The following is a 23,840-nucleotide window of genomic DNA, read 5'->3' on the forward strand; positions in this document are numbered from 1 at the left end:
CTGAACAGCTGAGTCAATGAGGACACTGACACCATGTCACTTCTTCAGCTCTTTATTCCTCCCTCACCCTCCAACAAAAGCAGCAGAGATTGCCCTCCCCCACTAGCACACACACATACACAGAGTCCAGCTGTCAGATATGGCTTTCAGGGAACACCAGACAGTGCTGAGTCCCAGTCCGGGGTGAAGGCAAGTTACCATGGTTCTCTGGCTATTATTGCGTTCAGCACATCAGGGAATGGAAATAAGTGCGCACATGTTCTAAAAGGCCCTTTGGGAAAAATCAGTGGGGCTGCATGGGAGACACAATGGCAGGCTTTGTCGCAGAGAAAGGATTTGGTCTGGCAAGCAACAGCAGTCCTGCTGGACACAGGGTTTGTCTGCACAGGCAGGATGGGAAAACCATGTGCAGGGTTTACAGAACATCCTCATTAGAAAAAAGTAGGGCATTTAGCATAATTAAAAGTCATCCTGAAGACATCAGGTAAGAGCCTGCTGTTTTTAATTAATTGTTCCTGTGATCCTATGACTTTAAAAGGAGTGCCGCTCTTGCCCATAGAGGTTTAGAATTACTTCAGAAACATAAGTCATTTAGTTGGGGGCAAAACAGCATCTGTGAAAGTTTGAAAAAGGCAAAAGAGGAAAGAGAGAAGAAAAAGTATGGGATAGTGAGAAAGAGTTGAAAATTATGAAGCTACTAATATATAATTTGCAAAGATTATCCTGTTGTGTTTTCATGCTCTGTGCCTTAATATCCTCACATCCAAACTACAAAGTTGGGGCAAAACAGCATCTGTGAAAGTTTGATAAAGGCAAAAGAGGAAAGAGAGAAGAAAAACTATGGGACAGTGAGAAAGAATTGAAAATTATGAAGCTACTAATATATAATTTGCAACGATTATCCTGTTGTCTTTTCATGCTCTGTGCCTTAACATCCTTGCATCCAAAATACAACTCCCCACTGACCTGCATCCTGCCTTGATATATAAATTAGTTTGGGGGAAAAATTCCCAGAGTCAAGGTTAAGAGAAAACAGCTGGGACATAAACTACGAGCCATGTGTCATAGATTTCTCCAAGTACGTAGAGTTTAAAAAAAAGAAAACCCTATTTTGAAGAGTCAGCATGTCCAGAACAGGTAGGGTGAACCAAGGACTTTATATGGTCTCCATATTCATGAAAATAAATATGGGGAAGACTATATAACTGTGTCAGTTATGCAAAGGGGGAGGACTAAACAACATAAGAAATCCTGTCCAAAACTTTTTTTCTTTCTGTTATAAAATCCCCAACCTAAATTATCTAAGTAATACTATAACTCTCTGCTTTTTTGTGTGCCTAGTGTAGAGAAATGGTTACTTTTTTTTTTTTTTTTTATGAAACGGAGTTTTGCTCTGTCGCCCAGGCTGGAGTGCAATGGCACGATTTTGGCTCACTGCAACCTCCGCCTCCCTGGTTCAAGTGATTCTCCTGCCTCAGCCTCCCAGGTAGCTGGGATTGCAGCCATGCGTCATCATGGCCGGCTAATTGGTCTTGAACTTCAGTTGTATATTTTCTTCTGTTCTTCCACTGTTTTTTTTTTTTTTTTTTTTTTTTTTTTTTTTTTTTTTTTGAGATGGAGTCTCGCTCTGTCACCCAGGCTGGAGTGCAGTGGCGCGATCTTGGCTCACTGCAAGCTCTGCCTCCCGGATTCAGCCATTCTCCTGCCTCAGCCTCCCGAATAGCTGGGACTACAGGTGCCCGCCACCATGCCTGGCTAATTTTTTGTATTTTTAGTAGAGACGGGGTTTCACCGTGTTAGCCCAGATGGTCTCGATTTCCTGACCTTGTGATCCACCCGCCTTGGGCTCACAAAAGTGCTGGGATTACAGGCGTGAGCCACCGTGCCTGGCCTTCTTCCACTGTTTTAATTCTGTTATATAAATTTGTATTCTGCTTTTCTCACTTAATATAGCAAATGTATTCCTGTGTCCTGACAGTGTATTGGACATTCCATGCAAAGTACTGAAAACTATACTTCCTTCTTTTTATTTTTTATTTTCAATTTTAAATTAATTTTTAAATTTATTTATTTATTTTTAAAGACAGGGTCTTACTTTGTCTCCCAGGCTAGAGTGCAATGGTACAATCAGCTCACTGCACCTCTAACTCCTGGGCTCAAGCCATTATTTTGCCTCGGCCTCCCAAGTACTTGGGATTATAAGCTCAAGCTATATTGCCCAGCTAACTTTTTAAATTTTCTTCTTCTTCTTTTTTTTTTTTTTGTAGAAATGGGGCCTCACTATTTTAACCAGGCTGGTCTGAAACTCCTGGTCTCAAACCATCCTCCCATCTAGGCCTCCCAAAATGTTGGGATTACAGGTTTGAGCCACCATACCCAGCCACCTCCCTCTTTTAAGAAGCCACAGTTTTCACCAAGCCCATACCTCTTCCTCCGTGTGTGTGTGTGTGCGCCCACATTCTGTGCCATGTAGCCCTGCTACCATAGGCTGATTGAGAACCAGCCTATGACTGGTCCTCATCAGTCTGTGTGTCTGTGAATAATATCTGTGTGTAGACATTATTCAACACAGACACTCTCTATTTTATTAGGACTTGTCAAATTCATCAGATTTTCTGTCAGAGCTTGTGGAAGGAAAGACGTAGTCATTAGTGGAGTGATGAAGAAGCTGAGGGAAAGCCACAAAAAAAGTGATAAAGCAGGAACCACGAGGCAATAGAACTCAGGCAATAGAAAGTGAAGTAGAGAAAAACTGGATCATTGAGATTAAGCTGAGTCACCCTGATGTGTAAACCACCAACAGAGCCAATTAAAAAGTCAGCTGCTTCCAAGAAAGGATCAAATAATTGAATCAGAAGAGATGCACTGAAATCTTCAGTAATATTAGTTAACACATTAACAGTACTTACTATGTTCAGGCATTATTCTCTTGTCTACTTATATTATTTCAACTAATCTTCCTATCAATCCTACCATGTAGCTTCTCCAGTCATCCTCATTTTAAAAATCGGAAAACACAGGAGCAAAGTAGTTCAGTGACTTGCCAAAGATCACACACAGAGTAAATGAAGATGCCAGGATTCAATCTCAGGCAGGCTGGGTCCAAGATCCACAACTTAACTACTCCATGTGTGTCCCCCAGAGACTTTTCAGTTCTTTACATGCCCTGCAATAAAGATTTCCTGTTCTTTCTTACTTCCACATTTGCCTTTATAATACATTTCTAATGCCTGAAGTCTTCTGAATGCCTGCATATGTCGCTGTTTTTGCAATCTGAGACACTTCTCTCGTGCAACACTTTAATACATACATACATATGTGTATGTGCATGTATGTTTGAATGCTTATATAGAAAGATATATATATACACACACATGTATATACATACACACATATATATATATATATATATATATATATAGAGAGAGAGAGAGAGAGAGAGAGAGAGAGAGAGAATCAATCCAGTGGCAATTAGCCAGGCATGGTGGTGTGCACCTGTAATCCCAGCTACTTGGAAGGCTGAGATAGGAAAATTGCTTGAACCTGGGAGGTGGAGGTTGCAGTGAGCCGAGATTGCGCCATTGAACTCCAGCCTAGGTGACAAGAGCGAAACTTGGTCTCAAAAAAATAAAAATAAATTAATCCAGTGGCTAATGCATAGCTATTCCAAAGAGACAGAAAGTAGATAAGTGATGGCTAAGGGTGGGGGTTGGGGAGAATGAGGAGTAACTACCAATGGGTTTGGGGTTTCTTTCTGGGATGATGACAATGTTTTAAATTAGATAGTGTTGATGGTTGTACAATTCTGTAAATATACTGAAATCCACTGAATTGTACACTTTAAAAGATGTAGATTTTATGTATGTAAATTATAGCTCAATTAAGCTGTTACTAGGGGAGAAAAAAAAGTCATGATATGAAATCTTATCTCCTATAAGCAACATCAGAGAACAGAGAATCAGAGAAAATCTTGATAGATCATTTACCTGCCCACAGGCAACCAACTGCTAATTCCTGGCAGCATTTTAACATCCTATCAACATTTAGAGTAATATCAAACATGCTATCTTTTATCCTAGCCACTCTTTAATGAAATATTCACAAATATAAACCATTATTTGGGTAAAAGAAAGAAAATAATTTTAGTCAAGTTGACTCAAAATACTTACTGCATTTACAGCATATAAGTCCTAATGAAGGTATATATATATATATGTGTGTGTGTGTGTGTATATTTTTCAATTGATTGCTAATAACTATAAAAATATAGCAAAGGACAGTCTAGTGCACAGATTAATTTTTTTCTATTGAATTATTTGTTTTAAAATGAATTTCTAGGATTGGAATAACTGAGCAAAAGGGAAAGAACATTTATATGATGATTTTTATATACTATTATTGTTATCCAAAACAGCTATACTTATTTAGCATGCCTTGAACAGATTATGAGAATCTTGTAGTGTTGTACTACCTTATCTCAGATGAAGTTCACCTCCTGAATTAAGGGTTTTTAATGATTAAATATTACCTAAGTAATCTGATTTAGCAGAATGGACATTTGCAACAATATTTTGTGTTGCAACAAGTTTGACATGTTCCCTAAGTCAAAAGCAAGTGTCCTGGGAAATTCACCATAAATAAGGTCCTAGATTAGTGATTAACTAGTTGAGAACAGGGCATTTTGTTGGACTGCTCTCTGGGATGTTTAGAGAAAGAGAGATTAATAGTGATTACCTCTGCTTAGAAGTTCAAAGAATTGAGAAGTTAAGAATCAAAATCCTTAGTTGACACAGCATTCATTTAGTTTAGTTTTTTTGTTTGTTTGTTTTTGGTTTTTTGTTTTTTTTGAGGTGGAGTCTCGCTCTGTCACCCAGGCTGGAGTGCAGTGGCAAGATCTCAACTCACTGCAACCTCCGCCTCCCAGATTCAAGCAATTCTCCTGCCTCAGCCTCCTGCGAAGCACAGCTTTCATTTAGTTATGCAATCATGAAACACATTTATTAAACATTTTGCTATAGTCTTAATGTTTGTGTTCCACATCAGTGTGTTGAAATCTAATCCCGGCTGTGATAATATTAACAGGTGAAGACTTTGGGAGATGGTTAGATCGTGAGAGCAGAGCTCTCATGAGTGGGATTAGTGCCCTTATAAAAGAGACCCCCAAAAAACTCATTGTTCCCTTTCACCATGTGAGGACACAGCTAGAAGGCACCATCTATGTGACAGCAAGCCCTCATCAGAGGCTACTGTTTCCATGATCTTGGACTTTCCAGCCTCCAGAACTGTGAGAGATAGATTTCTGTTGTTAATAAGCCAGAAAATAGTATTTTCTTATAGTAGTCCAAACAAAGACAAACCTACCATTTCTTTTACTCATTAAAGGCAAGTAGTCTCCCCACTGAAGCATTTATAGGCTAATGGGAACCCAATGAAAGATGCATTGAACCTCGGGGGATACAGGGAAGATATGACTAAGATTGCTGTTAGTCATGGAAGATATTACATCCATGCCAGGTTGAACCTGCCCACCTCTCTTTTAGTAATAGAATGCCCAATATTTAGCCAGGGGTGGGGCCACCCTGAGTAGAATTCATTTCCCAGCTTCCCTTGTAAATGAGGTGTGACCATGTGACTAGTTAGGGAGATATAAAAAAAATTGAGTGTCAGTTTCAACAAAATTTATTTTTAAACAGCCAATGAACATACTTTTCTTCTTTTTTCCTCCAACCTCCATTTTGTCACAGAAAATCAGTTGTGAAGGTTGGTGCTCTGGCTGACATCTTGGAACATGAAAAAGGGACCTAAATTCAGAGCTATAAGCTAGAAAAAACCGTGTCTACAAGATATTTTGTAATATATTCTAACAGAGTGAATTGCTTGCCACCAATATTCTTTTACATAAAGGCAACTACAATAAATCTTCTTTCTTGTTTAAGTCATTGCTAATTGGAGTTCCTTAGTCACATGCAGCCAATCCTAAGTGACTGAGAAGGCTTCTTTAAGTTGAGTCTTAAAGTCTGATAGAGTTTGCCAGATAAGGAATATGGAAAGGGGATTCCAGGTGTACAGTCATGAACAAAACTAGAAAGAAAACCCAAAGAGGCAAAGGATTTGGTTGGTAAGGCATGGCATGAGATTAATTAAGACCAAAAAAATTTGTTTTTTTTATAGAATATGTATTTTAAACACAAGATCCTCAGGGATCTGGATATTCTGTATCAATAGCCTGTATCAGTTATCTATTGCTGACTAATTAATCGCTCCAAACTTAGCATCTTAAACAACAGTAAATATTTATTAACTTACACAGGTTTTGAGGATCAGAAATCTGAGTGGTTTTGGCTCGGAATCTGCCATTCAGGATGTCAACCAGGGCTGAAGTCATCTGAAGGTTTTATGGACTCAACGCTCACTTCCAAAATGGCTCATTCACATGCCTCATTGTTGGCAGGAAGCCTCAGTTATTCACCATGTAGATCTCTCCATAGGGCTGCTCAGGTGTCCTGACAATATGGTTCCTGGTCCCCCAGAGGAAGTAATCCAAGAGAGCAAGGGGGAGCCACAATATCTTTTATGACCTAGCCTCAGAAGTCATATATTATCAGGCCTTCAGGAAGGGATACAAAAGGGTAAGAATACCAGGAGATGAAAATCACTGTGGTCATCTTGTAACCTCAGCAAGCTTGAAAAATGGAGACCGGCCAGAAAAGTCCAGCTGTTGGTCAAAGATAAATGATTGTCTTTTGAGCACAAAAGCATCTTTCTGTAGAATTAAAGATGTACAACTGGCAGGGTGCTGCGGCTCATGCCTGTAATCCCAGCACTTTAGGAGGCCAAAGTAGGAGGATGGCTTGAGGCCAGGAGTTTGAAACCAGCCTGGCAACATAGCGAGACCTTGTATCTACAAAACATTAAAAAATTAGCCAGGCATGGTGGTGGCTACTTATAGTCCTAGCTACTCAAGAGGCTGACGTGGGAGGATTGCTTGAGCCCAGGAGCTCAAGGTTGCAGTGAGTTGTGATCAGGCCACTGCACTCCAGCCTGGGCAACAGAGCAAGACCTTGTCTCTATTTAAAAAAAAAATGTTGAATTAAGTGATTTGAACTAAATTTCATAAAATTCTAACACTACTATTTTGCCTACCTAAAATTGACTTCCCTTCTCCTCTGTGACTATCAGTTTTTATAGGCCCTATTCAGGATAAAATTCCCTAAAGGACAATTTCTTCATAAACACAAAAAACACCTATTATCCTAACCATGTGAGTACTTTATTAAAAGCATCTCCCTGAATGTTTTATGTACATAAATCTTTTTTAATCAACCAAATTGTACTTTCAAGGTAGATAGAATTCTGTTCAGTTCATACCAACATCTATTAAGCAATAACTATATACGAAGAATCGTGCCCCCCTCTACAAGTGCAGAGTCTAAAGTGGGACAGGTATTGATGTGAATAGACATGTTCAACAGAATGTGCCAAAATGCACTGGGTCCCAGGTGGTCTTTGTCACTCTTCCAAGCCTGTACACGGAATTGGGCACATAAGTTTCAAAACTCATAGTCTAAGGTTTTAACTAATCAGTTATTGATTCTAGTCATTCAGGGGCTGATTGATTACAGCTTTAGACTAGTGACTTTCAGAGTTTTATTTAAAACAAAATTCTACTTAAAGTAAAACCTCACTAGTGTTCCATGAGATATAACAGGTGTTCCACAGAACAAAACAAAATGAAATCCTCTCAGGATTAGGAATATTGTCTCTAAAATTACTCTATAGCATGTATGAGAGGAATATCGAACACATACATGTAGCTGTTTTTATTTTTGTGGTAATTTTTCTTTTAAAAGGGTATGGTGAGAATGTCAAATAGTCATGAGGGATGATACAACAGAGACTGTATGACATAAGACCTACCATTGCTGTACAAGCTTTATCCAATAACAGGTGCTGCACTGTATATTCTATTATGATTGTTGGTCTGTGTTCAAGGGCTTATTTTACCATTTCAGCATTTATATATAATGTTATCCAATATCAATTGTATATTTGCATATGAATCAAATTTTGATCTTTTCTCATTGCAAGAAATTTTTTCATGAGACCCCTTTATGATTTCTGTTCACCTATGCCTATCTTATTTCTCATGAGCTCTAATTGCTGTCTCATTAATATGTTTTAATTTTAAAGTATGGTACTGCCAAATGAATTTGGGAAATTGAGATTTATATATACATGACCATTTGTGCTGGAGAATCCAACAAACTTGGGTTCTAAGCCAAACACCATCACTCAATGACAACTATTGCTGGTTATAGTTAATTACATTATCTATTGACAGCATAGTTGTAATTCATCATACCTTAGGTACTGATAGAAATAGAGATAAAAAGCGAACATTTTCTTTAGGTAATCACAGTCCAGGGGCAGCATTCATTTCTTCTAACCACATTCTGACAAAAAATCAAAATGTTCTGCATTCTCCAGAATCATAGAACTTCTGAACAGAAAGAATGATGAACATCCAAGTCTGATCTTTATTTTATTTTATTTAAAAAATAAAGTAGAGCCCGGGTGCAGTAGTTCATGCCTGTAATCCCAGCACTTTGGGAGGCCGAGGTGGGTGAATCACTTGAGGTCAGGAGTTCCATACCAGCCTGGCCAACATGGGGAAACCCCATCTCTACTAAAAATATAAAAATTAGCCGGGTGTGGTGGCAGGTGCCTGTAATCCCAGCTACTCAGGGGGCTGAGGCAGGAGAATTGCTTGAACCCAGGAGGAAGAGGCTGCAGTGGGCCTAGATTGCGCCACTGTACTCCAGCCCAGGCGACAGAGTGAGACTCTGTCTCAAAAAATAATAAACAAACAAATAAATAAATAAATAATAGAGACAAGCTCTCACTCTGTTGCCCAGGCTGGTCTCAAGCTCCTGAGCTCAAGTGATCCTCCGGCCTCAGACTCCCAAACTGTGAGGATTACAGATATGAGCCACCACGCCTAGACCAAATCTGATCTTTAATAGCTGAAGATCAGAGAGTACTGCATTGCAAGTCAGGGACTAGTGACTAAATTGTGATTAGAACCTAGGGTCAATTGTATTACTGTTCCCAAATATTCACTCTCCTTTCCTATAAAAGGATTAATTCATTTCACTCATTGCCACATAACATGCAGTGTCTCTTACAGTAGTTGTATATACCTCCATCCTATTGACATTGGGCTTGGCCATGAGCTTTGTTTGGCCATTGGCATGTGAGGGGACATTGCATCTGCCATGGTCTTGCATAAACTTTAACAGCCATCATGTAGTTTACTAACTTCCTATTCTATTCCCTCTGACACAATCTCACATGTCCTGGAGGGGACACCTCCTTCAGCAGGGAATGAAGAGGGCACTTGGAGCAGACATGACTGATCCATCTTCTCACATGTGAAGAAAGTGAAAAACAGACTTTTTTATTCTTCACCCTTGTAAGCCACTGAGATTTTATAGTTCTCATTGCTAGAGCAAAGCTGAATAATTTAGAATGCAAGCCAGAAAGAATAAGTGATTTGTACAAGTTTACACATGTACATAGCTAAATGGCAGAACCAGAGTTAAATCTCAGTTCTTTTGACATCCAGTCCAGTATTCTTTCCATATTTTTAGAGCTCTTTAAGTGACCAGTGTAAACATCTACACAGTATATTTTACTGTGATACTTAGAACATCCCCGAAAGCAATTAACTACATGACTAAAGGTTTGTCCAATTAATTTTTCCTTAATTGCCCATATGCTGAAGGCAACTCACAGGCTACAAATAATTTACGAAACTCTTTTACTCATTGTGGTCATTACTGACCGTATTGGCTAGCAGCAGTCCTTCCCAATGTGAAATGGGTGAAGTGCACTTGGAAATTACATGAGGCTTGCACTTTTCATCCGCTCTTGTTGGCCTGGTCATCTTCAAGTGCCTGTTATCTTGAGTGAGATAGAGGATTCTAGCAACAGCTCCATTGTGTAGTCTTATCTTAGGAACATATGGACTCTTTCACATTTGGTTTCCCTAAGTAGGCCTTTAAAAGTGATGGCAAATTCTGTCAACATCTCCACCTGTTTTGTATTCTCTCCAGTAAAAATCTGTCCAGTAGCTTCAAGAAGCTCAATCTACTGCTGAACCACTTCATGCCAGTTTCACGTGCTCCTTTAGTCATTTTCTTCCTGAAGTCATGTCAAAATGTCTATCTTCAATAAGCCCTGTCACTTAAAATAGAACCCTCTACCTACAGATTATGTTTTCCTTTTGACCTGTGTACCTCATTTGAAGTATGTGGCATAGATTTTCTATATCCAATTCAACGTTTGTTCTATATTCACTTTTGGATGATTCTAAGTCGTGTTATCATATCAGACTATCACAATTTTGAATGTTGAACTCAAACTAAATACTTCATTGTGTCTAGTGCTGTGGACTTTTAAAGGCACTCAGTATAATTAAGGCTGAATTATACTAATGATTAACTAGGCTTGTATTATGAGGAGTTAACTCCTCTTTATTAATTCAAAATTGGAATCTTGGCAGAGTGCGGTGGCTCACGCCTGTAATCCCAGCACTTTGGGAGGCTCAGGCGGTTGGATCACCTGCGGTCAGGAGTTCAAGACCGGCCTGGCCAACATGGTGAAACCCCCATCTCTACTAAAAATACAAAATTAGGCCGGGCGCGGTGGCTCACGCCTGTAATCCCAGCACTTTGGGAGGCCGAGGCGGGTGGATCATGAGGTCAGGAGATCGAGACCATCCTGGCTAACAAGGTGAAACCCCGTCTCTACTAAAAATACAAAAAATTAGCCGGGCGCGGTGGCGGGCGCCTGTAGTCCCAGCTACTCGGGAGGCTGAGGCAGGAGAATGGCGTGAACCCGGGAAGCGGAGCTTGCAGTGAGCCGAGATTGCGCCACTGCAGTCCGCAGTCCGGCCTGGGCGACAGAGCGAGACTCCGTCTCAAAAAAAAAAAAAAAAAAAAAAAAAAAAATACAAAATTAGCCGGATGTGGTGGCACACACCTGTAGTCCCGGCTACTTGGGAGGCTGAGACAGGAGAATTGCTTGAACCTGGGACGTAGATGCTGCAGTGAGCCAAGATTGCACCACTGCACTCCAGCCTGGGCAAGACAGAGTGAGACTCCATCTCAAAAATAAATAAATGAAATAAAATATATGCTAGGAAAAGACTGTACAACTTGAAAACATAGGTAGGCAAACCTAGATTTTCCCAGCCAATTATTAAATACTGATGAGCCAGTTTCAGACCGTCATCTTTTTTTTTATTAATCAGAACACATAACCTTATATATAAATATTTTCTAGCATAAGCAGCCATTTCATAAATTTCCATGACCTAAAACACCTCTAAAATTGTAATATGCTGAGTTAGGAAATTACAGAGAAATGAATTCTTGAATTGAAGCAGATAGCAAGGAAAAAAAACTAATCTGAACTAAATTTTAAAGTAAAATGTTCAGCCGGGCATGGTAGCACATGCCTGTAATCCCAAACAGAAGAACCAGTTAAGCTCAGGAGTTCGAGGTGACAGTGATCTATGATGGGGCCACTGCACACCAGCCTGAGTGGGAGAGCAAGACCCCATCTCTAATACATATAAAAATGTAAAAATATTGTATATATACACACACACTATATACACTTAATATTACACACTATATATAGTAATAAAAATAAATAGTATATATAGTGTATATATTATATATAGTGTATATTAAGTATATATACTTAATGTTTTTATATTAATTATTAAATACTTAATATTTTACGTATTTATATATAAATATAAATATATAATATTGTTACCATAATACCATATATATGGTATTATACATACACTATATATGTGTATATATAGTGTGTATATATATATCATATACATATACTATATGTATATATACATACATAGTGTGTGTATATATACATATATAGTATAATATATATGATATTACGGTAACGGTGACCTAATTTAGAAAAAGACGTTCACTCATATAGTAGGTACTTCTGCCGTTCTTCTGTCAGTACTAGTCTTCCTATCTCTGAAAGTTTCTGGAGGACACTGGGGTGATAGATGGATACCCCCTCAGGTGGAATTCCTATGCAGTTACAAGTCTCTTCCAGAGAACTCATGTTCCTTTTCTTACCCTTCACCCTTTCCTCCCTGCCATCCCTCCGCCACAGCCTCTCACTCCATCTACACCGTTCTTTCAGTGTCAGGGTTATGAATTCTCAAGCTAAACTTGACATTTTAAAGTAATAGCTTTATTATTTGGGCTCTGATTACAGACCCTGTTCACAGTTACATTTGCGTTAAAGAGCAAAGGTTACCAAAGTTCAACATGTGTTTGGCATTATTTTTAAAAGGCCTTCCTCTTTGGTAAGCTACAGAAAAATTGTAAGACTGGAAACCTGTGAGCCAGCAGCCAAAAACATAGACTACCATGGATTTGCTGCTTTCTTGCAACAGAAACCTTCACTTTTTCACAATAGATACATTTTTTCTGATTACGATTAGATCAGCTTAAATAGAAAAGGGATCATGTCACCATCACCAACAACAAACTTCAGTTATGAACTGAGCACTATGCTGGTGCAAGATGTGGTTGCTGTCTTTTAAGGCGGAAGACAACACTAAAATGCCTTCATCCTATGAAGAACAGAAAAAATCCTGGAGTAGAGCAGAGAGGAGAAGCTAAATTTAACCCTTAGAATGTCAGAGGAAGGAAGGTTTTGACACCAAGGTCTTATATAACACAGGCAATCAGATTTAATTCCGGCCTGGGTATATTCTCTCTCTCTCTTTTTTTAAATAATTATTTTATTTTTAATTGTGTGGCCCTGTTATATTAATTTCCTTTAGCCAAAGGAAGATAGATCCTTTAGCCAGGGGAAGACTTAAATCACTAAATCACATAAAATCCCTCTCTCTCCTTCTCTCTCTCTCCCCTTCTCTCTCTCCCTGTTTTAATAGTACTTAGCTATCTCAAAGTGTTGCTGGAAGGATTCATAAGCATGTTAAGTGCTTCGAAGATGAGAAGCAATATATAAATGCTTAAGTATTATTATTAAACTTCAAGTAAATGAGCACATAGCATGTGATTTAAATGGAATGCATGTGAATACACAATCCACAAATAGCCAAACAACTAAAGAAGCTTCAGCTAAGACTCACAACCCACATGACGCTAAGCCTTTAATATCATAGAATGTTTTTAGAGCTGAAAAACTATCAGAGATCATTCAATGAAAGTTCTTCATTTTACGGGCTGTGAAAAGGGGGCATCACAAGTGACCAGTCCAAGGGCACACAAATGGATAGGGATAGACACAGGACAAGAAACCAAATTTCCTCAATGCCAACCAGTGCTTCTCATACCCTGCTCACCTTTAACTACAAGATGTCAAACATCAAGATAAAAATAGCATGCTTGGCCGGGTGCGGTGGCTCATGCCTGTAATCCCAGCACTTTGGGAGGCCAAGACGGGTGGATCATGAGGTCAGGAGATCGAGACTATCCTGGCTCACATAGTGAAACCCTGTCTCTACTAAAAACACAAAAAACTTAGCTGGGCGTGGTGGTGGGCGCCTGTAGTCCCAGCTACTCAAGAGGCTGAGGCAGGAGAATGGCATGAACCCGGGAGTTGGAGCTTGCAGTGTGAGCGGAGATTGTGCCACTGCACTCCAGCCTGGGCGACAGAGTGAGACTCCGTCTCAAAAAAAAAAAAAAAAAAAAAGGCCGGTCGCAGTGGCTCACGCCTGTAATCCCAGCACTTTGGGAGGCCGAGGTGGGCGGATCACGAGGTCAGGAAATCGAGACCATCTGGGCTAACACGGTGAAACCCCGTCTCTACTAAAAATACAAAAAAATTAGCTAGGCGTGGTGGTGGGCTCCTGCAGTCCCAGCTACTCGGGAGGCTGAAGCAGGAGAATGGCCTAAACCTGGGAGGCGGAGCTTGCAGTGAGCCGAGATTGCGGTATTGCACTCCAGCCTGGGCAACAGAGCAAGACTACGTCTCCAAAAAACAAAAAACAAACAAACAAACAAAAACTAGATGTATTACCAACGTTTAAAATTCATTGCATTTTGTATGAAAATCCAAGTTCTACTTTCTCTTAATCAACTAACAAGGCAAGGACACGATGATCCCTTTAAACAGGGAGCCACATCAGGGGACCACGTGTTCCACCTGACTAGTTTTGTGTGCTCAGACTGCCTCCTGCTTTTGACTTTGTGTCCCTGTGTAGATAATGAATCTAAAAATGCCAAGCCTCCAAATGAATACTTTTTCAGTTTAGTTATCTTACTATACACAGCTTTATTAAATAAACCAGATATGTCACTGCTCACTCCATTTTATTGTGTTCTGTTTGAAAGCAGTCTACCTACATAAGGAGGAACAGAATGGAATCCCACATCGTTGGCTGGTATCCCTAGATTGGCCAGGCAATTTTCCTTTTTTTATTTTTTTAATTTTTATTTATTTATTTTTTAAGATGGAGTCTCACTCTGTCTCCCAGGCTGCAGTGCAGTGGCGCAATCTTGGCTCACTGCAACCTCGGCATCCCGGGTCCAAGCAATTCTCCTGCCTCAGCCTCCCGAGTAGCTGGGATTACAGGTGCCTGCTGCCACACCTAGCTAATTTTTGTATTTTTGGTAGAGACAGGGTTTACACCATGTTGGCCAGGCTGGTCTCAAACTCCTGACCTTAAGTGATCCGCCCGCCTTGGCCTCCCAAAGTGCTGGGATTACAGGCATGAGCCACTGTGCCTGGCCTCCATTTTGACCTCCTTATAGAACAGCTAACTGTTATATTTCTTATGCTACAAAGCAATTCAGAACTAAGAAAAAGTTCAGAAGTAAGATTGGCTTTACAGTATTGATACTCTCAAATCTGTATTTTCTTAAATAATGATATAAATTTTATATTCTCTATCTTCTTAAAATAATTCCTATATGTATATGCTATTTTGTTTTATTTTACTACTCATCCCCTACTTTTCACCTGAATTTCCTTATCTTTTTTAAACTTAAAAAATTAACCTATTGTATACTTTCACAGAATTATTTAAACACATTTTGGAATGAGACAGAATATTACTAAGTTACATATTTACATTTATTCTTTACAAACTTATGACAGAATGAGATTTGAGGCGAGCGGTATTCAAGTTCTACTTTAGATTGCAGTGTTCCCAGAACCAGGGGTGTCAGCATCATCCGGGAAGTTATTACAAGTGCAAATTATTGGCCAAGCACGATGGCTCACACCTGTAATCCCAACACTTAGGGAGGCGGAGGTGGGCAGATCGCCTGAAGTTAGGAGTTCGAGACCAGCCTGGCCAACATGGTGAAACCCTGTCTCTACTAAAAATACAAAAAAATAGCTGGCCATGGTGGTGGGTGCCTGTAATCCCAGCTACTTGATGGGGCTGAGGCAGGAGAATTGCTTCAACCCAGGAGGGGGAGGTTGCAGTGAGCCGAGATCATGCCATTGCACTCCAGCCTGGGCAACAAGAGCAAAACTCCATCTCAAAAAAAAAAGAAAAAAGAAATGCAAATGATTGGGTCTCACCCTAGACCACTGAATCAGAAACTTTGGGACCAGGGCTCAGCAATCTGAGTTTTTTGTTTTTGTTTTATAATTTTTTTTTTCCCCCTATGAGGCAAAGTGTCACTATGTTGCCCATGCTGGTCGTGAACTCCTGGGCTCAAATGCTCATAACTGCCTTAGCTTCCCAAAAAGTTGGGATTACAGGCATGAGCCACTGCACCCAGCCAATTTGGGTTTTATCAAGTCCTCTGGGTAATTTCGATGCACAATAAGGTTTGCGTACCAATACTTTAAACTATAAAATGGGTGTGGTAAACAATTATACCTATGTAAATAGTTAGAAAGGATAAGGCCAAGGGACTTTATGAAAGTAATGCATGAATAATTCTAAAATATACTTTTTAGGTCAATATTGTTCTCTGTTCAGCAGTACTCATCAGAACATAAGAGATTTTTTTCATCTTTCTGAAAGAAATTTTGTGTTTTAGAATTTGCTTTTATAACTGGATTGGAAAATGCTATGAGGCTACAATCCTAGTGGAAAAAAGCAAGAAGATAAACATATGCTACCATTTTGCCTCGTCTCTTTTTGACTTTTAGCTCAAAAGTCAAATGTCTGCGGACCATTCAGGCAACTGAGCTGAAGTATTCTCCACATTTTTATACCTCCCACCCTCAACATGATATCCATGATGAATCCAGTGCTTCTCAACCACCTGCCCTAAGTTCCACCCCCGGAGCTCCTGATTCAGTTGGACTTAGACGAGGCCAAGGCAACAGGATGTTTATTTATTTATTTATTCATTCATTTATGTATTGAGACAGGGTCTTGCTCTGTCGCCCAAGCTGGAGTGTAGTGGTAAGATCACTGTTCACTGCGGTCTCAACCTCTGGGGCTCAAGGGATCCTCCCACCTCAGCTCCTGAGTAGGTGGGGCTACATGTGCACTCCTCCACATCCAGCTAATTTTTAAAAGAAATTTTTGTAGTGACAGGGTCTCACTATGTTGCACAGGCTGGTCTCAAACTCCTGGGTTCAAGCAATCCTACCAGTCCTAGGCTCAAGCGATCCTCCCACCTCAGCCTCCCAAAGTGTTGGGATTACAGGCATAAGCCACCCAGCCCAGGATACTTTTAAAAGCTCCCCAGGTGATTCTCATGTATAGTCAGGGTTGAGAACCTCTCTTTCTATCTTTCCCCAGCATTGGAAGTGACCTAAAAACCACATCTTAGACCTCACTCCTTCTCTCCTCATGGATCATGAAGCTACTTTTCTTTATAAGATCACAGATACATCTAGTATCTAAAAGATCTTGAAGAATAACTATCAATTGAAATGGTCTAAACACAAAATCACTCTGCTTATACTAAGTGAAGATAAGAATATGTATAACCAATTCAGTCTTCCAAACATTTTAACTAGATAATTAAAGCCAAACTACTTTTTCTTTGGCTTAAAATTTTAGATAATTGGGCCAGGTGCCGTGGCTCGTGACTATTATCCCAGTACTTTGGGAGACCGAAGCGGGTGGATCACTTGAGGTCAGGCGTTCAAGACCAGCCTGACCAACATGGTGAAACCCTGTCTCTACTAAAAATACAAAAATTATCCAGCTGTGGTGCTGCGCGCTTGTAATCCCAGCTACTCAGGAGGCTGAGGCAGGAGAATTGCTTGAACCCGGGAGGTGAGGTTGCAGTGAGTTGAGATTACGCCTCTGCACTCCAGCCTGGGTGGCAGAACGAGACTCGGTCTCAAAAACAAATTTTAAATAATTGGCTTAACTCTCCACCTTGCTCAAGGGTGTGGACATAGCCCCAAAGTCCAGGTAGTGCACTATGCCATTTGCTTGGCCTACAGAGGAAGGAGTGGTGATGGTGGTAATCAGTTGTTAATTTCACATTATGGGTGGAATTTTGACACAATCAAATCCAATGGCTTCAAGCCTTTTGCTGGATTATTACTTCTGAATACATTAGATTTGGATCAGAACTCAGAAACGAAATGTTATTTCCTTCTCTTCATCACCCCCATAAAACTTCTATTAATATTTATTTATTTAGAACTCCTGGTATTTTTGTGACAATGCTCTCTTCCCACTGTTTCCTTGTGGCAAGCTAAAGGGTCTTTGGTTTTTGACCTTTTGATATGAAAACATGCATTACAGCCATGCTTTTGTGACTTTTTTTTTTTTTTTTGATTTAGGGAAGTGGCAAGAATGTGTGGAACGATCACAAAGTTCACATTTCCTCTTATAATCACACAACAAAAGGGCAACTCATCAGAGTTTCTCACTGACCTCAGGGCCTTTATCTTTAAAGAGAAAGAAGGAGAGAGAAAGAGAAGAAAATTCAGAAACTATATACTTTTATGATATCCACCAAGACTATGACTTTGGACAGATGATCCAACACTAATTTTCAAACTTTCAGCCAAATTGTATACAGTATTGTGTATAGCATGTGAAGATCTGAGATAAAATCCCAGTTCTATCCACTCATTGTGTGACTTAGGGAAAATTACCTAACATCCCTAAATCTTGTTTTGTGTTCTGTAAAATGATCTCATGTGAATCTTATGTAAATTAAATTTAATAATATATGTACAGCATTTTCACAGTGTCTGGCAAAGAAGACAGACTCAATAAATGATAAAGCAACATTATTATTGCCCTAGGCAGATCCTCTGAAAGTTAACATGGGCTGCATTTTTCAAACTCTTCTCTGACCACATCAAACTCAAGTATTAAACAATTAAAAACTAGTGATTTCAGAGATTTCCTCAGTAACCGTAGTTATAAGAAAAAGACAATTCCTATTCTACATAGTACAGGAAGTCCTAGTCAGAGCAATCAGATAAAAAGAATATTTTATTTTATTTACTTATTTATTTATTTTTGGGCCGGGCACAGTAGCTCACGCCTGTAATCCCAGCACTTTGGGAGGCCGAGGTGGGTGGATCACGAGGTCAGGAGATCGAGACCATCCTGGCTAACACAATGAAATCCCGTCTCTATTAAAAAAATACAAAAAAAAAAAAAAAAATTAGCCGTGCGTGGTGGCAGGCGCCTGCAGCCCCAGCTCCTCAGGAGGCTGAGGCAGGAGAATGGCGTGAACCTGGGAGGCGGAGCTTGCAGGGAGCCAAGATGGCGCCACTGCACTCCATCCTGGGCAAGAGAGCGAGACTCCATCTCAAAAAATAATAATAAAATAAATAAATAAATAAACACTGTTAAAGGCATCCACATTGGAAAAGTGGAATTCAAACTGTCCATCTCTGCAGATATCTAGAAAAGTGTAAACACTCCCCCAGAAACTCCTAGCCAGAGCAATCAGGTAAAAGAAATAAATACTTATTAAAGGCATCCACATTGGAAAAGTGGAATTCAAATTGTCCGCCTTTGCAGATATCTAGAAAAGCTTAAACACTCCCCAGAAACTCTTAGATCTGATAAATCAATTCAGTAAAGTTGCAGGATACAAAATCAACTTACAAAAATCAGTGTATTTTGGCTGTGCACGATGGCTCATGCTTGTAATCCCAGCACTTTGGGAGGCCAAGGCGGGTGGATCACCTGAGGTCAGGTGTTGGAGACCAGCCTGGCCAACATGGTCAAACCCCGTCTCTACTAAAAATACAAAAATTAGCTAGGCATGGTGGCACACGCCTCTAATCTCAGCTATTTGGAAGGCTAAGCCAGAAGAATCGCTTGAACCCGGGAGGTGGAGGTTGCAGTGAGCCGATATCATGCCACTGCATTCCAGCCTGGGCAACAGAGTGAGAATCCATCTCAAAAAAAAAAAAAAAAAAAGAAGCCAAAAAAACAATGTATTTCTATACACCAATAATGAACTAGCTGAGAAAAAATCAACAAGGCAATTCCATTTACAATGGCCTCAAAAACAACAACAACAACAAAAACGACAACAAAAACCTAGAAATAAATCTAGCCAAGGAGATGAAAAACCTAAAAAAAAAGCTACAAAAACACTGATGAAAGAAATGGAAGAAGGGCCAGGCATGGTGGCTCACACCTGTAATCCCAGCACTTTCGGAGGCCAAGGCAGGCAGATCACTTGAGGCCAGGAGTTCAAGACCAGCCTGGCCAACGTAGTGAAACCTCATCTCTACTAAAAATACAAAAATTAGGCCGGGCGCGGTGGCTCACGTCTGTAATCCCAGCACTTTGGGAGGCCGAGGCAGGCAGATCACAAGGTCAGGAGATGGAGACCATCCTGGCTAACACAGTGAAACCCCATCTCTACTAAAAACACAAAAAAATTAGCTGCGCGTGGTGGCAGGTGCCTGTAGTCCCATCTACTTGGGAGGCTGAGGCAGGAGAATGGCATGAACCCAGGAGGTGGAGCTTGCAGTGAGCTGAGATCATGCCACTGCACTCCAGCCTGGGTGACAGAGCGAGACTCAGTCTCAGAAAAAAAAAAAAAAAAAAAAAATTAGCCAGGCATGTGGACATGCTTGTAATCCCAACTACTCAGGAGGCTGAGGCACAAGAATTGCTTGAACTTGGGAGGCAGAGGTTGCAGTGACCCAAGATCATACCACTGCACTCCAGCCTGGGCAACACAGTGAGACTCTGTCTGACGAAAGACAAGAAAAGAGAAGAGAAGAGAAGAGAAGAGAAGAGAAGAGAAGAGAAGAGAAGAGAAGAGAAGAGGAGAATGCAAACAAATGGAAGGATATCCGATGCTCATGGATCAGGAGAACTAACAAACATTGTTAAAATGACCATATTGCCTAAAGCAATCAACAGATTCAATGCAATCCCTATCAAAATAACAATGTAATTTTTCACAGAAATAGGAAAAACAATCCTAAAATTCATATCCAAAAAAAGAGCCCTAATAGCCAAAGCAATCCTGAGCAAAATGAACAAAGTTAGAGGCATCACATCACCTGACATCAAAATATATTACAAGGCTACAGTAACCAAAACAACATGATATTTGTATAAAAACAGACACCTAGATCAATGGGACAGAATAGAAAACCCACAAATAAATCCACATATTTATAACCAACTGATTTTTTACAAAGGCATCAAGAATATACATTGGGAAAACGACATCCTCCTAAACAAATGGTGCTGGAAAAATTGGATATCCATATGCAAAGAATTAAACTGGATCCCTATCTCTTACCATGTACAAAAATCAACTCAAGATGGATTAAAGACTTAAACATAAGACCCAAAACTATAAAACTACTGGAAGAAAATGTACGGAAAACACTCAGGACATGGGTTTAGGCAAATATTTTATAGCTAAGACTTTAAAAGCACAAGCAACAAAAATGAAAATAAACAAATGGAACTATATTAAACCAAAAAGCTTCTGCACAGCAAAGGAAATAATAAACATAGTGAAAAGACAACCTGCTCAACTGGAGAAGATATTTGCCAGAGATTCGTCTGCCAAGGGACTAATATCCAGAATCTATGAGGAACTGAAACAACAGTAAAAAAACAAACAAACAAATAATACTATTAAAAAGTGAGCAAAGGGCATAAATAGACATTTCTCAAAAGAAGACATATAAATGGCCAACAAGTAATATGGAATACTTCTTCTTGGCTAGGTGCGGTGGCTCACACCTGTAATCCCAGCACTTTGGGAGGCACAAGGTAGGTGGATCACCTGAGGTCAGGAGTTCGAGACCAGCCTGACCAACAGAGAGAAACTCCGTCTCTACTAAAAATACAAAATTAGCCAGGTGTGATGGCACATGCCTGTAATCCCAGCTACTTGGGAGGCTGAGGCAGAAGAATCGCTTGAACCCAGGAGGGGGAGGTTTTGGTGAACCCAGATGGTGCCATTGCACTCCAGCCTGGGCAACAAGAGCGAAACTCCATCTCAAAAAAAAAGAAAAGAAAAGAAAGGAAAAACTTCTCAGCATCACTGAACATCAGCGAAACGCAAATCAAAATCATAATGAGGTATCATCTTACCCTACTTAGAATGGCTTTTATTAAAAGGACAATAAATAACAGATGCTAGTGAGGGTGCAAAGAAAAGGGAACTCATACAGTGTTGGTGGAAATGTAAATTAGCACAACCACTATGGAAAACAGCACAGAGATTTCTCAGAAAACCGAAAATAGAACTATCATATAATACAGCAATCCCACTACTGGGTATTTATCCAAAGGAAAAGAAATCAGTATATCAAAAGGATATATATCAGTATATCAAAAGGATATGCTCACGTTTACTGCAGCCCTACTCACAATAACAAAGATATGAAATCAACCTGTGGACCAACAGATAAAGAAAATGTGCCATATATATACAATGTGATACAATTGAGCCATAAAAAATAATGAAATTATGTCATTTGCAGCAACATGGGTAGAATTAGAGGTAATTATATTAAGTGAAATAAGCCAGGCACAGAAAGACAAGTATTTCATGTTCTCACTCATATGTGGGAGCTAAGAAAGTTGATTATCATGGAGGTGGAGGGTAGAATAATAGATACCAGAGGCTGGGAAGGGTGTGTGGGTTGGGGAGAGGGATGAAGAAATGTTGTGTAATGGGTTACAAACATATGGTTAGGAAGAACGATTAAGTCGTAATGTTCAATAGCAGAGTAGAGTGACTACAGTTAACAACAGTGTATTGTACATTTCAAAATAGCGAGAAAAGAGGACTTGAAATGTTCCCAAGACATAGAAATGATGAGTCCTCGAGGTGATGGATACCCCAAATACCCTGACTTGATTATTTCACATTCTATACATGTAACAAAATATTACATGTACCCCACAAATATGTACAAATATTATATATTAATAAAAAAAGAGTCCGGGCACAGTGGCTCATGCCTGTAATCCCAGCACTTTGGCAGGCCAAGGCGGGCGGATCATGAGGTCAGGAGATTGAGACCATCCTGGCTAACACAGTGAAACCCCATCTCTACTAAAAATACAAAAAAATTAGCCAGGCGTGGTGGCAGGAGCCTGTAGTCCGAGCTACTCGGGAGTCTGAGGCAGGAGAATGGCAAGAACCTGGGAGGCGGAGCTTGCAGTGAGCCGAGATCGGGTAACTGCACTCCAACCTGGGAGATAAAGCGAGACTCCATCTAAAAAAAAAAAAAAGAAAGAAAAAGAAAAAGGTGATAAGTAGGAAACTCACAAACCATAGGATATGTAAAAACTGGGCAAGCAGGCCTCCGTAATGCAGCATTCACTATGGAGAAATAACACAAAAATATAAGGGCAATCCAAGTTCCTAGTATTCCAAGTGGACCAGTAATTAGTAGTAATTGAACATGAGGCCTGTACCATCAAGAAACTATGGGAGCCTTTTTGATCCTAACTTCATTGAATACTATTAATAAAATGACTCTGACCAAAACACTGACATATGTATACTTCAGCAGACAGTACAGGGAAAGCATACATATGACTGAGATGTGGAAGGCTTCCAGAGCTCTGCTCATTTCTTCAAGAGGTCAGCCCCCATAACCTGCTGCGTTATTGGTTCAAAGCCGCTGTGGGACCATCCAAGCAAGCAGTCACCCCACTTCCTGCTAATCCTCCAAATCTTCCCCAGGGGTTTGCATTGCAAGCCTGTCCTGACTCTGCTTCCCCAGGGACTCCTCTAGGCTCACAGCATGGGGAATTCTATGGCTGTAAGAAGATACTCCAAGAAGATGGAAGATCAGAACTGTATTAACTCACAGACAAGTCTGAAAGAGGAGATGTGGCTCTGCACTCCCAGATGAAAGAGATTTAAGCTTGTGAATCACTGAAAATAGCAAGAAATCAGACAAAAAGGGCCTTGTCCCAGAGTAATAACCTCACTCAGAGATTAAAATAGGTCTGACCTTTGTCTGTGGGACTGTGTTGTCTCAGTCATATTTAGTTGCTCCAGCTGAGGACTTCTGAAACCTCCATCTGCATGTTGTGAAACCCCTTCTCTTGGTCACGGGGTGGTCTCTTCCCGAACACAGAAGAGCCACTTATTCTGGAGGGTACTTAATGGGGTTTGTGGCTTCCAAGCCAAGAAAGTGGAGCTCACTGAGGTTCTATTTTTTTTCTTGCTCAAATAAAGTTAGAAACACTATCATGTGACAGTCAAGAAAATTGAGGTTCCTCAACTGACACTGAAGTTACATGACCCTCATCCACCTGTTCACTCACCTCTGGAAGGACTTGAAAGTTCCAATCTCCTTGTATGGCTTCTCTGCTCAGAAAGCTCATGAGAGGAGCCCACTGTGACTGTTTTTTG

General features: G+C 40.1%; 1 annotated feature.

Annotated features, from left to right (window-relative positions):
• Nucleotides 23,194-23,473: an enhancer, noted in NCBI's record as "active region_24970". NCBI's record gives its function as "activates an Ori minimal core promoter by ATAC-STARR-seq in GM12878 lymphoblastoid cells {active_cell/tissue: GM12878}" and the evidence as "EXISTENCE:reporter gene assay evidence [ECO:0000049][PMID:35858748]".

Source organism: Homo sapiens, chromosome 6, assembly GCF_000001405.40.
Source record: "Homo sapiens chromosome 6, GRCh38.p14 Primary Assembly".
Taxonomy (NCBI): domain Eukaryota; kingdom Metazoa; phylum Chordata; class Mammalia; order Primates; family Hominidae; genus Homo; species Homo sapiens.